The sequence below is a fragment of the Homo sapiens genome, chromosome 1 (genome assembly GCF_000001405.40).
Source record: "Homo sapiens chromosome 1, GRCh38.p14 Primary Assembly".
NCBI lineage: Eukaryota > Metazoa > Chordata > Mammalia > Primates > Hominidae > Homo > Homo sapiens.
Genome location: NC_000001.11, coordinates 172,209,284 through 172,227,107, shown reverse-complemented (window position 1 = coordinate 172,227,107; position 17,824 = coordinate 172,209,284). Strand labels below are relative to the sequence as shown.

Sequence of the window (17,824 nt, the reverse complement as noted above, 5' to 3'; positions counted from 1 at the left end):
ACATACAAAGTGGTATAATGGACATTGGAGACTCAGAGAGGGGGAGAGTGGGAGGGGAGTGAGGAATGAAAAACTACGTACTGGTACAGTGTATACTACATGGGAGATGGGTGCATTAAAATCCCCAACTTCACACTATACAATCCATGTGACCAAAAAACACTTGTACCTCCCCCCAGAGCTATTGAAATAAAAAAATTAAAAAATTTAAATGAAACAAAATGTGTCTTTATTTTGACCCAGTAAATCCATTTTTAATTTTTAGTAATATACCCTAAAGAAATGCTTTCACAAATGGACATATATGAAATATGACTTGCATCATTATCGCTGAAAAACTGAAAATAAATGCCCATCAAATGGGGACTAGCTAAAAAATTATGACACATATTAATAATAGTTAACATTGGTTGAGTGCTTATTGTACTAAGCATTTCCAATATATTTAGTCATTTAATTCTTCCAATAATGTTATGAAGTAGGTATTTATCATCGAAGTTTAAAAATGTAGAGAGTAGGGCACAGAGCGACTTACACTTAAGGTCATATGCCTGGTGGCAGGGAGCAGGCTCCAGGGTCCATGCTCTTAGCCACCACATTTTGCTTCCTTTCATCTGTGCATGAAATACTCTGCAGTCCAAAAAAGAAAAGAGCTAGTACAATATGTCCTGATGTGGAAATTTGGTCAGAATCCATTATTTGGTTTAAAAATAAGTTATAGTTAAGTATGTACTCTGTAATCTACTATCTTTTTTAAAAGTATCTATGTTTACAGTTTTATATTGAACTAAAGGTCTGAAGTCTATACCAGGTTTCTTTTGGAGACTGGCATAACAGCTAGGGGGTTGGAGGAGACTTTGATACTTGTCTGTGTTCTGTCTTGTTTTGTTTAAAGGTTTTGTTTACAATAAATATTAGAGATATTTTAATTTAAAATGAAGATATCTGTTGACCCAGCATTTTCTTTTCTATGAATTTATCCTGAGGTGATTATTGGATGCAATTATATGTGCATAGTGATGTTTATTACAGCATTAAAAAATAGTTACAAACTAGAAACTAAACTTATAGGATGCTGGTTAAATAAATTACAATAAATTCATACAAAAGTACACTGTGTAACTATAAAAGAGAGTAATAAATCTATATTTGGTGGAAAGAGCACCAAGAGTTTTCTTGACTGAAAGAATCAAATTGTAGAATGGCACAAATAGCATAATTCTATTTATGTATATAATATAATTCATATATATATCATATATATAATTCATGCATTTTCATTGAAAGACAGATGTTTAAAAGAGGTTTTCTCTGAATGGTGAGATAAGATGTTGGAATTTTTTATATTTATTTTTTGGGACAGGGTCTTTCTCTGTCACCAGGCTGAAGTGCAGTGGACAATCACACCTCACTGTAAACTCCATCTCCTGGGCTCAAGATGTTACCATGGTCAACATGTTACCAACTTGTTAATGCATTTTTATAGGGAAATATGGTAGTATCTTAAGAGATAGAGTTATGGCAAAAAAAAAATGGTCATTTGGTAATAGTTACTAAAGAGTTGAGAATAGAAGCTATCAAAATATTGATAGAAGTTCAGAAGGCCTTTTGGATCATATGTGCTGACACTGGGAAAAAGTAAAGACTAAATTGAGGTCATTAGAAGGAGGGACGGTCGGGTACGGTGGCTCATGCCTGTAATCCCAGCACTTTGGGAGGCCGAGGCAGGTGGATCATGAGGTCAAGAGATCGAGACCATCCTGGCCAACATGGTTAAACCCCGTCTCTACTAAAAATACAAAAATTAGCTGGGCGTGGTGGTGCGCCTGTAATCCCAGCTACTCGGGAGGCTGAGAAGGGAGAATCACTTGAATCTGGGAGACAGAAGTTGCAGTGAGCCAAGATAGTGCCACTGCACTCCAGCCTGGCGACACAGCAAGACTATCTCAAAAAAAAAAAAAAAAAAAAAAAAAGAGGAAGAAGAAACAGGAGGGACATGCCACCAAAGAAAATAGCAAAGAGGAATTGGAGGAGAATACTGCATTGCATGGCAGGAAACCTGAGTCCTAGTCCTGACTCTACCACTGGGCACATCATGTCGCTTCTCTGAACCTGTTTCCACTTGTAAGAAATGAGAGGGAAGACCAGATCCTTGGTTTTCAAACTGAGATCACCAGCCTTCTAGAGATTCTCTTGTTATGCTTCAGGGGCCACCATGGAAGCTAGAGAGCCCCAAGGCAAGAGGGCTGGATCCTGGGCTCGCACCCTGCTTTAACCAAGACAGCTCTGGTTTTATTTATTTTATACAATGGGATTTCATGGAAGATTTTGATTGAATAAAGTGTTCTAATGTTTAAAAACAGAAAAGGAGAGAAAAGTTTGAAAACCACAAACTATGCTGATGTCTGAGGTTCCTCCTAGCTTTAAATTCTTGTTTTGAAATTAATCTATGCCTCAAAATGTATGTAAGTAAGCAGTGAAAATGCAGTTTGCCCTGGAGAGAATTTCCAAGTCACTGAACATCAATCATGAGGTCTCGGTTGCTAACATGTGGCAAGTTGATTTTTTTTTGCTTCCCTCGGGTCAATTTACCATCCACCTCATCTTCATCAAAACATTAATTTCAGCTTAATCCTCTTTCTTCCTCTCTGGTGGTAAAAGGACCTGGATCACTTTGAAATAAAACAAATAGAGTACAGCTATGTTTTCATATGTGGGGTGGTTTCCATTTGATTTCCACAATACTAAAATGAATTCAGTAATTTAGCCTTTTCCTGAAACTCAAAGTCTAAAAACCTATTCAAATAAAATTAAAATGTACTAAAATTCATTAAGTGCATTGAGGATTCACTATATGAAAGGGGCAGTGCAAGGTGTGTCTGCTGATATAAATGTGATAAGACACTGCTCACAAGAAAGTTAAGTCTGTGTTGTGAGTTCTAATGGCAGAATAGCCTATCAGGCTGAATAGAGGTCAGGAAAAGCCACAGGAGTCTTGCATGTTGGGTAGGATTGGGGTAGGCATAGGTATAGGGAGAAGGTATTACTGGTCAAGAGAACACTAAACTAAGAAGTTTGGATTAAATTCAGTAAGCAGCAAAGCAGTTGGGAGACATGTACGCTTTATGGAGATTAAGCTGGTATAAAAATATAGTGTAGATAGAAGATGGCAGAGACTAAGGTAACTGGAGTGTTGGCTACTCCAATGGCCCAGACAAAGTGACACAATGGGACCGTGGCAGTGGGAATATCAAGGAAGTGATTGATGAGAGCTACACTTAGAGAAGACTTACAGAATGGCCAGAAGTAGACAGAACAAGTACGAAGCTCTTACAATAATCAAGGAAGAAGACAGTGGTTTCTTGGACTAAGGTGGTTGGAGAATAGAAGAGTATATGTATTTAAAAACTATTTAGTAGGTAAAACAGAGATTGAATGATGGATTGGACATAGAGGTGCTATTCACTGAAATAGGGAACAATAGATAAAGGCAAGTCATGGGTTCAGTGGGAGCCATGAGATTCAGTTTAGATGTTTTGATGCTGAGGAATCTGAGACATCCAAGAGGAGATGGAGTAATGGAGACAAAAGTACCCTCTATTTGAGATAGTTTTGAGGATATGATGCTCTCAGAGAAAAGTTATATTTCAACGAATGTAAAAAACTATAAAGACTAATGGTCAAAAATTTATAGTGATATATGGGATTTTTTTTATGACAGAATGGATATACAATGGTGCCTGCCAATTGGTGCCTGCCGATATGCCTGGAGAGGTGGTACCATTAAATGAGATAATTTGATGAGGTTCTGTTGATAGTAAAAAAAAAAAAAAAAGAAAAGAAAAAAGAAACTGATACCAGAGACTGGAGAGGTGGGGTTAGGGGCAGGATGGGAAGAGATCAACAGATACAAAGTTACAGTTAGACAGGAGGAATAAGTTTTGGTGCTCTATTGCACAGTATGGTGACTATAGTTAACAATATTGTACTGTATACTTAAAAATAGTTAGAGGATTTTGAATGTACCCACTATAAAGAAATGATAAATGTTTGAGGTGATGGATATACTAATTACCCCGATTTGAACATTATGCAATGTATACGTGTATGGAAACATCACATTACACCCCATAGTATATACAACTACTATGTGTAAAAAACAAAATAACACTTAAAAAATTTAAAAAGAAACTGATAATAGAGAAGGACAAGAATCATACATACATCTTTTTCTAGATTTTGTTTGTGTACAAGTTTTCGGTGAATGAGCAAGTTATATCTCTTCTGAGATCTTTGACTAGTGGAATTTTCCCTTCATCATATGTTTGAATGTTTAGAACTCTGTTAATGTTCTATTTAGTTCAAGTGGTTGTATGTTGGTTCTTTGGCGCCATTGTCAATAATAAAATTCAACAAAACAAACCCCTAAATATGGCTTTGTTTTTCTCTTTTTAAACATATCCAATTCTCAGCCCAAACCAGGATCCAATTTTTTCTTCTTATGTGGGAGACAAGTGTAAGTGACTGACCACCATTGAAATGACTTTACTAAGTAGACCCCTGTCCTCTTGCTAACCTTTCTCTTTATTCAGCCTCGGAAAATCCAGATGTTTCTTGTTCTCTATAATCACCTTCCTTGATGCAAACCTTGGCCTCTTCACCAACTTCTTGGTATATTCCCTTTCCTTTCCAGGGGCAAAGCCCCAGGGGATCTGTGTTTTTAACCAGTGTTCCAAGTAATTTTTGATATTAGGCAACTTTGAGAAAATCTGTTCAGAATTTCTTCAGGGACCACCTTGAGGAGGCAGGAGAAAAGCAAGAGCTTGGATCATATATCCATCGTGTACATTCTTTATGATGTGAATACCATAGTTTAGGTAGTGATTCTAGCTAAAGCAAGTGGCCATGTTTCTTTCACCTGTTTCACTTAGACCAAGTCTGCACTTAACTCTTCACATGTGGCTTCTACATGAGTTTTCGTCAGAAACAAAGATCCTGTTGCTCAAGATGTTTGAAAATCAGAATTGTGAATCCATTACTATCTCTGACTTTCCTAGTCTCCTTATCTATTCCCATTGAAATAATATACTCGCAATGAGTCTAGAATTCCTCAGCTACTTGATGATTAAGACTTGAACTCTGTTACTGAGGGCTTACTATGTGATAAACTCTATTCTATGCATTGAACAAACCCTACAAAGTCTTTGTCTTTATCTTAATTTCAAACGGGGGATTTAAATAATAAAATAAATAGGTAACTTTTTAGAATATTAGAAAGTATTTAGTGTTATTGGGAAAAATAAATCACAGAAAGAGGAATGGGGAGTCCCAGAATTGGAGAGAGAAAGAGAGATAGCAAGAGAGACAGTGTGGTGTGTGCATGCACATAATTTTAAATAGGAAAGAAGGAAGTCCTCACGAGATGACCACACAGTGAAGCCCTAAAGGAGGCAAGGGAATAAGCAATGTGGATATCTGGAAGAAATGCATTCCCAGGCATAGGAAATCACAGCAGATGTTTACTTAGTATTAGTAGAATGAATGGATAAAAATGTAGGAATTCCTTTACCAAGATAGTTTTCTGCTCTTGGAACCATCTCTCCCATCTCTTCCCTGTGGATTGTTAAAGTGAACGGCATTTGCTTGCATTAAGATCACCACCTAGACTATGGTATTCAAATAATTAAAACATATATATTACAGACATGATCTAAGCTCTTCTTCACAGTTGAAGAAACTGAGAGCCAAAGAGGGCATATGATTTGTCTGAAGTCATAGGGCTAATGAGGGATAGGGTAGAACTAGAGCTCAGGTTTTCTAAATGCCAGCCTCAAGTTGTTTTTGGTTGAGAAGATCTTTTATATATAGACCAGAAATCTAATTGAGTACTTTTCTTATGTAAATGTTTTCTTAGTGAATGTATACTTTTATAATAATAATGTGACCAAGTTTCTTAATAATACATTCTTTTTCTTTGAATACTGCGTCTGAGTTCCCATACCTCCATATGTCCCTATAAGGAGAAAAAATGAAGAAGGAAAAGGGGAGAAGGGAAGAGGGATTGATGAAGGAGAAAATTGAATGAAAAGTAACATGATGTGATACAAGCAACTCTCACGTAATCCCAAATCTTCCTAAACCTTAGTTCTTTCTAATGTTATAAGAATATTTCAACTTCTTAACAATTCTGAAATGGAACAATACATGTATTTTTAAATGAAAACTTTAATGTGCCTATTCTTTATGGCACGCTTTTATTAACAAATAAAGAAGTACTCATCATCGTTATCAATTAATGGAATCTCAACGGGTCAGATTGTGATAGCTTGGTGTTTACTGCTTTAACATGATATCCCCTAAAACTTCAAATCCAAATTCCACCTGGTCATTCTGTCTAGTTCTACTTAAACACACTGCTTTCCCTTCCCATCTTATTTGGTAATGCGATCTCCATTTCCTCTACCATTTAATCTTCCCTGAGAATCACTGCTGTTTCTGACATCTGTTCCTTTCCCATCCGCCTCTGTGAACTGAGATAAAGAGAAAATTTTCAAGAAATATAAAGCTCATCTGTCAACTTACTTCCCCTACCACCTGTCAGAGGCCTCACTGCCTCCCCCATGTGCACTCTTAACTCTACATGCACTTGAAGCATTGATTCTTGAGCTCTCTTTTTTGAGTTTTCCCCCATTCTCCATATTTTTAATATTAACTCTTTGTATATTGTATTTATTCACAATGTATCTGATCACTCCCCATTATAGCCAATTTGTATACAGCTCCTCTGTCATAATTTCTGTTATATCAGAAGGCTGGTATTTCAAGAAACTCCTATCTAGCCCTGAAACTCAAAGGCTCAACTTTAGGGTTTAACCTACAATCTGAGTGTTTGAAGAGATACCACAGCTGCTACAGCTGCCAAAATGGGTATGGAAGCAAACAACCCTTTCTCTTCAATGACATCATCATATTTGTTCATGTCCTTAAAATATTTAGGCTGGATTAATGCAATGAATTCTGGGTTTGCTCTCCTCGAAGACCTCCTGTGAGATTTAGTTAGCTTGCCTACTTTAGAACCCTGGCCAGATGAGCCATGTTTCCCTTACTCTACACAGCTTACTTGCAATCTAGAAAAAGCTGACTTTAAACTGAATTTCTTTTAAAAAATTCCCTGCTCATGTGTATTTTCTCAGGGTCTTCTATTTTGAGAGTAAAATTAAGATATAAATCTCCTATGTAAAATGTACCTTTCCCACCCTCTACTGTCACCCTTCAGGAAAAACAAAACAAAATATCCAAATAGCTTCTTGTTTGCTGGGGAAGGCAGATTTAAATTAAAGGAGCTACAGCCTGGTTTTCTCTAGCTACAAGGAGGGCATGGAAGAGTGCTCTCCATCAAGAACTTTTCTACATCTTCACCTTGTGTCTGTCTCCCTCTGACGCCTCTCAGATTGAGTCTTTTGCGTTCTAAAAAGGTCCAGCACCTCTGTGAAGGCTCCCTTGACTGACTTTCCTCTTCCCTCTCCTACAGTTCACCAGGCCCATTACCCTCATACACACCTAGATGTACACTCTCTTAGCTGGAAAATAGTAGTCACTGTCTTCTCTGTATATAATGCTATAAAAATGATCACTTTACTGTTTCATATCAAGCCTCATTGTTTACAAGTCTATTTTACATATTAGAACTCTTGAGAGCGTCTTCTTTTTTTTTTTTTTTTTTTTTTTTTGAGACAGGGTATTCCTCTGTCACCCAGGCTGGAGTGCAGTGATACTGCAGTGCAGTGATGCAATCTCAGCTCACTGCAGCCTTGACCTTCGGGGTTCAAGCGATCTTCTCACATCAGCTTCCTGAACAGCTGGGACCAGGGGTGCATGCCACCATGCCCAGCTAGTTTTCTTTTATTTTTTATTTTTTGTAGAGATGAGATCTTTCTATGTTGCCCAGGCTGGTCTTGAATTCCTGGGCTCAAGCAATTCTCCTACCTCAGCCTCCCAAAGCACTGCGATTACAGGCATGAGCCATTGTGCCCAGACAAAGGTTTCAATTTTCACGCTTCCAGATACCATGCCTAACACATTACATAAACTCAAGGCAAGTTTGTTGAAATAATTAATTTAATTTTTAAAACTAAAGTATTAATAATGCATGCACATGATAACAGTTCATAGTTTTGAAGAAGGTGTGATGAGAAGCAAGTCTCCCGCTCCAACCCTCTTTACCTCTACTTCAAAGAGAAATTTCTTTTAATTTCTCTTTAGATATTCTGATCCATAACACTATATTATATGCTTATACTTTTACTTCTCAACTTAACCACTTTAGACAACAGTTACTGACTCTTCTTATTAAAGAGGAGGTTATAGCTCACTCATAATACCTCTTAAAGTTTTCCTCCCAACAGTCAATAGATATGCAAGTCCACAATTCCTTATCTGAAGTCCTTGGAGCCACATATATTTCAGAATTCAGATTTTTTTTAGAATTTATAAAGGTAATATTTTGTATATATCATATACCACAAACCCCCACGTTTCTATAGTAAAATATGCAAATACTCACTTAAGTGGGATAAATATTGTAAATAACATCATATTAGTGCAAATCAGATATGCCAACAAAAAACTTGCCAAAAGTTGTCTTCTTCACCTTGTTACAGTGAAACCACAAATTACCTCAATTCCTCAGTCCTCCTTACCCTTACTCATTAATTTTAATGTTACCAGTGTAACAAAGAACAAAATTCTTTCACTTTAAAAAAAAAAATCTTCATGTACATAATCCAAACCCAAACCATCCAATTATTTAGTTTCTATTAATCTCACTATTTAATTCTCATTGGGCTACAGAGCTATTTTCTTATTAATTGCTTTTCTTAAGAGTCTGGCTCAACATGCCAGTGTTCTTCTTTTACTCTCTTCCTATTTGACTGTTCACTAAAGTACTCTCTGTAATGATATAACACTGAGATTATGTCTAGAGAATAGAATTAAATTCCACAAATGAAAAGGACACTTTTGAAACCCTCAAACATGTAGGAAACATTTTAAATAGCGGATAACCAGATTCTATAGACCATAATCTATTTTAGCAGGAATAAATATACTACAGAAATTTTTCCTACCTCATTATCTAAAATACGCTGAACAAATATAGAATGTTATTCACTATAAAACTAGCTTATAATAATTCAGGAAAGACACAGCTGTTAACCATTCTAGTTTAAAATATGATCATGAACATAAGAAGACAGGTAGTTTATGTATTTTTCCAAATGCACTCATTGTGATTTCCCTCCCACAACCATCCCATACATTTCTTTACAAAGTTTTGTCTATTCCTCTCAGTCTTTTTCCTGAGAGGAAGTCAACCATAGAATAAACTTTGGTTGATAGGCTGTAGTTAAAAAAGTAAGGAGAGAGTGGAGCACTGCCTGGTATATAGTAGATTGTAAGATACAGGCTAAATTTTCAGAAACAAAATTAGGAGAAGAAGAAAGAGAGTTTGAGAATAGAAACAACAAATGATCGAATAAGAGGCAGTGGGCACAAGAAAATAAAGTGTGAAGACAAAAGTCTATGAGGAAACACATCTCTAATGGAAAAGAGGCCTCCAGTCCATTTAGAGCCTTGTCCCATTGAATCTTCACTTACCGCTACACAAAAGGAGCCAGTAGGAGATTTTAAATATCTCTGAGAGTAAAGGACTGAACACAATTGGTTGGCAGGCCCCAGCCATACCAATACATGGCTTTCCACGAACCATGTTGTTTTTGGATCTCTGAAAGTAGCTTTTTAGTGCTGTTGCTCCTCAAAGGGACAGGGACCAGCAGCAAAATAAGAGTTAGTGGAAGTGCCCAAGCTCAGAAAGATTTCTCCACCTTTCCATATTTTAAGGGATAGTAGTGATGCTCTAAGAGTGAGGTGTAAGGAGGCTGAAGAAGGTGAGAGCATCTTAAATGCCACTATGTGGCTCATAGTGCTTGTGGACTATAATTATAGTGAGAACATTGTTTTATTAAGAAAGATTCCATTGATATTGTAACCAATAACTATAAATGTGTCACCCCAATTAATAAACTGAGATTCTTGCAAAGCTTTTAAATGACCTAATTTTTGAAAGATCAGAAATTTGGTTGGCTGGTAGTGAAATGAAATTTTAGTGTCATTTCCAGAATCCATTATGATAGTAAATATCTAGATACATATCCAATTACAGAGGGAAAATCTCTAGGTGGGAAAATTGGCTTATCTTGACTTTGAAATATGAACATAAACAAAGGTCACAGACATATTCAACAATTGCTTTGTGCTTTGTGTGGTTGCAGCATGTGTGTGTGTGTGTGTGTGTGCATGTGTGTGTGTGTATTCCCTCTACTCCCATTTCTTTTCTATGTTTATCCTAAAGAAACTTTAGCAATCACAGAAGTAAAAAGAACGTTACATTTGCCCAAGGAGTTAAATTCCATTTATAAGAAAGAAGCACTTACTAAAATGGATTAATCATTTTTCTCCAATTTGGCCTTGAGTGTTTCCAAGTAACCTTTTGAATTTAAGAGATCAACAAGTAGTTTTCGGCTTCAGACATAAACTGATAAATTGAAGTCTTTTATCTAGTCATGACTTTAGCATCCATCACAAATGACGAAGCCAGGTTTTTATTTCTGCTTATTTTTAAATGGGGAGGGAAAATTTTCAGGAATAAATAGATCAATACTCACTGGTTAATGGGCAGTGTAATCACTACTATGGTAGACCATGCCTCAGATAAAGTCACTAATAAGGAAGTCAAGTACTTCACATTTTACACAGACTTGTCTTTAAACATTTTTAGGGATAAACTGTATAAAATACATGTGAATCTTCCAAGGGAATTATACCTTCGATGGAGAAGCCACTCCTGAATATGATTTCCCAATAGATTATTATATTTGGATGAGATATGGAATGCTGCATCTAATTTTATAACTAAATGGTAAATTTCTTGATTCTGTTCAAGTTTTCTTATGCCTCTGATTTCCTTGACAGCAGGTTTGAAAAATATATGTCTGCAGCTTTGTTCTACCCCTGATCTGGTCCCTTACTTTTCTTTTTTTTTTTTTTAATTTTATTATTATTATACTTTAAGTTTTCTTTCTTTTTTTTTTAAAGAGAGTGTTAAGAATAAATTATAAATTGAATTATCAGATATTTTCAAGAAAATAACTCAAGGCTTTATAACTCTTTAGGATTTATAAGAGCCAAATCTGCTTAAAATTAGAATTAAGCCTCATGGCCTAAAGATTCACACAGTGGTTCAACAGCTAGGTTTCTGACGCATCAATTACCTGGCTCTGCCTTGTAAGCAGTCACAGGGACTAACTCTTAGTTAGTTCCAGTAAGAGAAGATGACTATTGAGTCCAACGAATATGTACAATTTCAAAAGAAAATTTATAGTTTTACCTTAAAAATTTGTTTTTGCTATTCCTCTCATTTTTTTATCTTCCAATTTTTGCTCTGATATCTTCCAAAGCTTTTATCTTCCAATTTTTTTCTCTGATAAAATTAACTGCCTCTGATTTCCCTGATTTTCAACCTTTGGATTGCTCCTTAATTTAAAACATACATACATAATAAAGACTGGAGCTTGAAAACTTCGCTAAGTTTATGTCATCCTCTTTGGGTTCTTATGCATTCAAAAATCATTCTATTTCCCAGCAAGCATACCTTATTTGATGCCCATAGAGATCTGTGCATGTGGACACCGGGGCATATGCACATACTACTTATAACCAAGAATTTAAGTTTGCACTCCAAAGAGAAGTTACCAAATGGCAGCATTTCTGGAGAACATTGTTATTTTATATGTTCCAGAAGCCAAGAGGATTCAAGTTGCTATTCAAAAGTGCAATAGACATGGTCTCTGCCCAATCAGCTTGGAAACAATGACTACTAAAAGAGTCTACACATATTGGCCAGGATTATTACAGTCAGAACCAATACTAAAATGTTCCACTGAAATATCCGAACACTCGTCTTTAGGTTTAAATGTGCTTACTTGATATTTGTTGAGCATCTATAATTGAAATTTCCAAATAGTTGCATATTGTTTATGAAATTGGTCTCAGTTTCCTAACAGTATTAACTTACGTTAACATATGTGAATATTTACTAGGTAAGGATCAATTACTTCGGCACTTTACACCATAGATCTGTTTTCTGCATTTTTGTCTATTTGGTCCTTTCTCTGATCAATATGCCCTCCACTGGCAGCTGTAAAAGGAAAGAAGGACTAATTTAAAATACACTAATTGCAGGTATTTTCTCATTCTCTCAGTGTTACTATTGAAAAAAAATGGCTGATTTATAAGTATTAATTTTTTCAGCGATCTTTCTATACCCACACTCCTATGCATTTACTTTTAAATTTATATCCTAGCTTGTTCCCAGTCATTTTTATAGCTGCAGGATATTAACTATAGTATATAATAATTAAGTTACTGTAAGATTCGAAAATACTTCTGACTTATCCCAAACATATCTAATTATGTTTAGTACAGCTTTAGTGGTAAAATATATTCACCGTATGCCAATTATTTGTGTGTGGGGGGGATGAGGTGTGTGTATGTGTATATATGTACATATGTATGTATATGTATCCAAACTTTTTTTTCTTTTTTTTTATTATACTTTAAGTTCTAGGGTACATGTGCACAACGTGCAGGTTTGTTACATATGTATACATGTGCCATGTTGGTGTGCTGCACCCATTAACTCGTAACATTTACATTAGGTATATCTCCTAATGCTATCCCTCCTAAACTTTTCTTTGTTAACAGCAATAGTTAAACAAGTAGGACAATATATTGCCCAGCCAGACCAACTTCTATGTTTTATTTTCCTCCATAAGGATTATGACAAGTTACCATGAAATTTTGAAATCAATTTCTCAAGTCCTTAGATATACAACACAAAGTCAAATGAAGAATAGAAAAAATGCTTTCTGTCAGCTGTAATTTAGAATAATTCCCATTGTCTAAAGATGTAAGAAGCATATAATAGCTTTTATTTTTAAGTGATTCCTTTGGCAGTTACACAGTATGAAGGAAGGCCACAGTATCAGGAAAACGTTTCTACCTGAAGGAGTGATTAAATTTGCTTTACAGTAAAACTCTTGCTATGCCAAATAATGATGGCTGTTTTTGTTTAAAATTTTGTTTAAAAATTGTTAAAATGTGCTTGCAGAATCATTTCTAGAGGTATTTAATTTCTCTGATGCCAATATGCTTTTTTTTTTTTTGAGACAGAGTCTTGCTCTCTTGCCCAGGCTGGAGTGCAGTGACATGATCTTGGTTCAGCACAACCTCTACCTCCCACGTTCAAGCTATGCTCCTGCCTCAGCCTCCCGATAGCTGGGATTACAGCCACCTGCCACCATGCCTCGCTAATTTTTTGCTTTTTCAGTAGAGACGGGGTTTCACTATGTTGGCCAGTCTGGTTCAAACTCCTGATCTCATGATCTACCTGCCTTGGCCTCCTGAAGCGCTAGGATTACAGGTGTGAGCCACTATGCCCGGCCACCAATAGGCTTTTTTTTTTTTTTTTTTTTTGTAACAATGGATTCTTAATTGTTCTGTAAGCTTTGTTTAACTTTTTGTTGAAATATCCAGAAATATACATCACATAATTTCCACAAACTGAATGTTCCCATGTAACCCACATCCAGATCAAGAAACAGAACATTACCAGCACCTGGAATGACACTCCCCTTGTGCCCTCTTCTAACAATGCTTTTTAATTAACCATGCCAACACAGTTTCTGCAAAGAAGTCATTTCTGAAGCACGTATAGAGGAGTAAAGCAAGATCAGCCTGTAATTTCTAGGTCTATTGGCCAGAAGCAAACTTGGTTTGTGTGCAAGGGGCCTCCTCTAAAAATCAGCTGTGGCCCGGACCTGATGGTGCTGGACTTATTACTGCTGCTGCTCTCCTGTTGTTCAGAGGAAGAGTTCAGTGGAAGAAACAGTGTGTGGAAAGAGAAGAAAGAACACTGGACTTAGAAGTTTGCAAACCAACTTCTTGAGATTCAGATTTTCTTCCTCCAAGTAGCTCTTTGACCTGGGCAACTTAGTTCACCTTTCCAGTCCTTAGTTTCCTTCATCTACAAAAAAAAGATGTTTGACTACACGACGATCTCTAAGGTTTGTTCCAGTGCTAAAAGACCATGATTTCACACCAAAAGACTCAGGTAAGGCGAGAGTACATCAGTCAAAAAGCACTCTCTCTCTCTTCCAGTACTGGTCCTACTATGGGAGCTTTCACCTTTCATCTTTACTGTTTCTGTTTCAAAATCACATGTTCAGCATGGATTAGAATTATCTGATCTTTCCTTGTGATATACCCAAATCAGTTTGTGGTATTTAAGAAATAATTTCTAAGAGCATAAGTTGAAACACTTATTTGCCTTGTTTTTAGTTCCTTGTGACAATACAAAGCGAAAGGTTTGGGCTTTTTAAATGACATATCACACCTTCTCCTGTGGTGACTGTGCACCATAAGATTAAGAAATGTGAAAAGCTCAGAAAATGTAATGCTTGTGAATGAGTTGGTAATTTTTGAAGGCAACGTTGTTTAAAGATAAGGAATAGGTTAATTTTTCTGCAAAGCTATTTTCCGTCATATGAAATATGTTCAGTGACTGCACCACAGTAAAAGACATACATCAACTTCTATTTCAGAACTTCAAAACTCCTGACAATTGGCTCATATGAATCATTGTCAGGAAGAAATCTTCCAGCAGCAGTGACTAGCCTCAGTGTCTAGCTGAGGTGTGATTGATACCAGGGACTGAGCAACTTTCCAGCTTCTAGCAAGAATATGGAAACTGCTACAAAATCAAGAATTAGAAATCTCATAATCGACATCCTTTCTGTTCTTTCTTTGCTATGATTGCAATTGCAATATATTCCCTGTATATCCTTTTTTTCTCATTTATCAGACTTTTTGTTTGACATTACAACAAGCCTGGTGACAGCTCTGCTACAATATTTCTATTAGGTGAATAAAAACCAAATTACTGCCTATTAGCTACAAATTCATTCCTTTGCTAAATACAACAAATAGATAACATTAAAGAGCTTGAACAATTTGATCTTGATTATGTAAAAGCATTACAACAAACCCTCCAACCCTCCTTCATCCTCATAAATGTCATTCTCATAAGGCAGACAGACACACTCACAAAACTCCAGGTTCCATTTTCTTTTCAATTTCCACCTGTTCCTTGAAAATCCATTTCTTCACATTTATTCTCTGATCTTATTTCAGTTTCTGCAGCAGGAAAACTGTGCAGAAACTCAAGTTTTAGTAATCAGTGTACAATTTTGTATGTGTAGTCTTCAAACATCCAGAGTTTTTCCTTTCGCTGTTCATCTAACCCATCAATGTAAAAAAATTGTTTTAAACTAGACATTATGTATCAGATTCAGACCGGTAACTTTCTCCAGTCACATTCAGTCCACATGAGATACTTAAGGATGTAATAAAACATAAGAAAAGCATATTCTAGCTGCTTGCTATTTTGAAAAGGGGAAAAAAATCCTTTCAGACAGTAATCAATTTCATTGTGGAGGAGATTTCTGCAAAATGCATTAAGAAGTTCACGCCTGTGGCAATGGTCACTGCACATATTTTGGAATGTCTCCCAGACTATAAGACTTTTTCCAGACATCCAGGAGAGACTTTAGCATGACAGGGATCCTGCGCTGGGCCTTAAAAAATTGTAGAAGGAAAACTTTAGACGGTTCAGTTTCAGCTGGATTTTGTTTCTTAGACAGCTGAGTTACCTAGGTTATGGAAAATACTAGTAATTACGGAGTGATGATAATCAGAAAAATCTCGCTCTCTGTCTTCTTTTTCTGAAGCCTTAATTAGTTAGTCAAGGTATTTGTTAAGCAATAATGCTACTTTGCTTCCTAAATATCTTTATAGATAGGGTTGATTCTATCCTACCTGAGATACTGAAATCACCAAAAGGAATTATGATAATATTTTTTAACTTTTGGAAACAAACTGTAAGATATATTTCCGTTTACTCAACTGCCCTTTGGCTGCAATAGCAATCATAAATTTCTTAAATTTGTCAGAATTTTTGTTTTGAGGGAGGGAAGGATGGCTGAAATCGCTGGATGTAAAAAATGCCCTTTATTTCCTTCTCTATCATGTTTATCTCTAAACTCTTCCCTCACACTTGGCTTTTGCTATCGCTAGGAATGAAATCTAAGTATAGAAACCAACACAATTTATACCTTAAAGGACATGCTGATGTATGTTGAAGCCTCGGATTTTCCACAGACATATGTTATCTGCTTTCTTCTGTCTCTCAAAGGCACAACTTTTCTTTTTGAACATATTTTGCCTTCTATAAATTGAATTCATCTTACAAATAAAAAAATGAAAGAAAAGGTTTTCTTAGTGTTTTGTTTCACATTATATCTTGGTTCCCTGTATAGGCTTTTTGATTTGTTCAGATGTAACTTTATACTTTATTATTCTTGTACTGGCTTAATAATCCCTTCTTGCTCTTTAGGCATCTTAAGTTCCAGCTCAGCTTCCTTCTGATCCCCAATCCATACAGCTCCTGGTGTTAGAAACATTGTGCTTCTTGGACTCCATTCTTCAACCTCAGTTCTTCCTGCAAGGGCTAAATGTTAGTGATCCTTTAGGGAGGCAAATGTCATTTTTCTCACCTTACTGAGTCCCACATTTCTTTGTTCAGAACGCAAACAGGCAAAAAAAAAAAAAAAAAAAAAAAAGCACGCTCTCTTACTCTTAATTACCTATATATTTGATGTCATTTATAAGAGAATTGTTTGCAAAAATCAGTAACTTAGGAATCTGAAGACTTAAATTATGCTTCAAACTCTGCCATTTACTAGAAGGGTAACCTTGATTTAAAAAAGTGAACTTTGCTAAGTCTCAACTTTCTCATCTGCAAAATGGGAATAATTCCTTCCTTACCTAACTCACATCTTTGTTACAAGAATTAAATGAGACAGTCTATGTCAACATATTTCAAATTTAACATCTTGTAATGAGGTTAGAATGGTGTTTGGCACACAGTAAACAGTAAGTGTTAGCTACAATATTATTATTATGTAATTATTACTATTAAAATGGAAAAGCATCAAAACAATAAAGAATCACTTGCTAGTGCATTTTGATGGTTGTATTATATCATCTTACAATTAATAATCTTTAAAATTATTTTAATTTTTTAAATTTTACAAATCTACTTAGCTATTTAAACCCAGACATCAGTAACTGCATTTTCCAGATGAGGAAAAAAATGGCCTGGGAAATATTAGACTGAAAAATCACTGGGCTGTTTGAAGTGCCCTGTAATGTATGGCTCACTGGTTATATGTGCTTACAAGCCATTTCTGGAGCTGCAGTTGTGGATCAGCATGGACCAAGGTAGGAGCACCGTCAGACACAGAAGTGCATTGCTATTGGGCCCTTGGGAGATATGGAAGAGTCTTCTCCTTGCTTAATGCAAATAGCAATAATCACCCTGGCCTCAGAGACCAGTCAGTGTAGTCTATCCAGGGTAGTTCTTGAGAACCACTCACTTGGCTCCTGGGTAAACAGAAATGTTTAATAAACCAGAATCATATCTAGTATAAGTAAAGTTGAAAAATGATCAATATTCACCCTTGGTGCCTGTATTATTTTGCTAGGGCTACCATAACAATACACCACAGACTGGGTGGATTAAACAATGTAAAATGATTTTCTCATGATTCTGAAGGCTAGAAGTCCAAGATCAAGGTGTCAGCAGGTTTGA

The 17,824-nt window shown here is 36.0% G+C and overlaps 1 protein-coding gene across 19 annotated transcripts in view; it reads right to left on the bottom strand.

The window, feature by feature from the left end:
- Positions 1 to 17,824, bottom strand: part of DNM3 (dynamin 3) — a 576,969-nt gene that overhangs the window by 191,359 nt on the left and 367,786 nt on the right. The window lies entirely within an intron of this gene.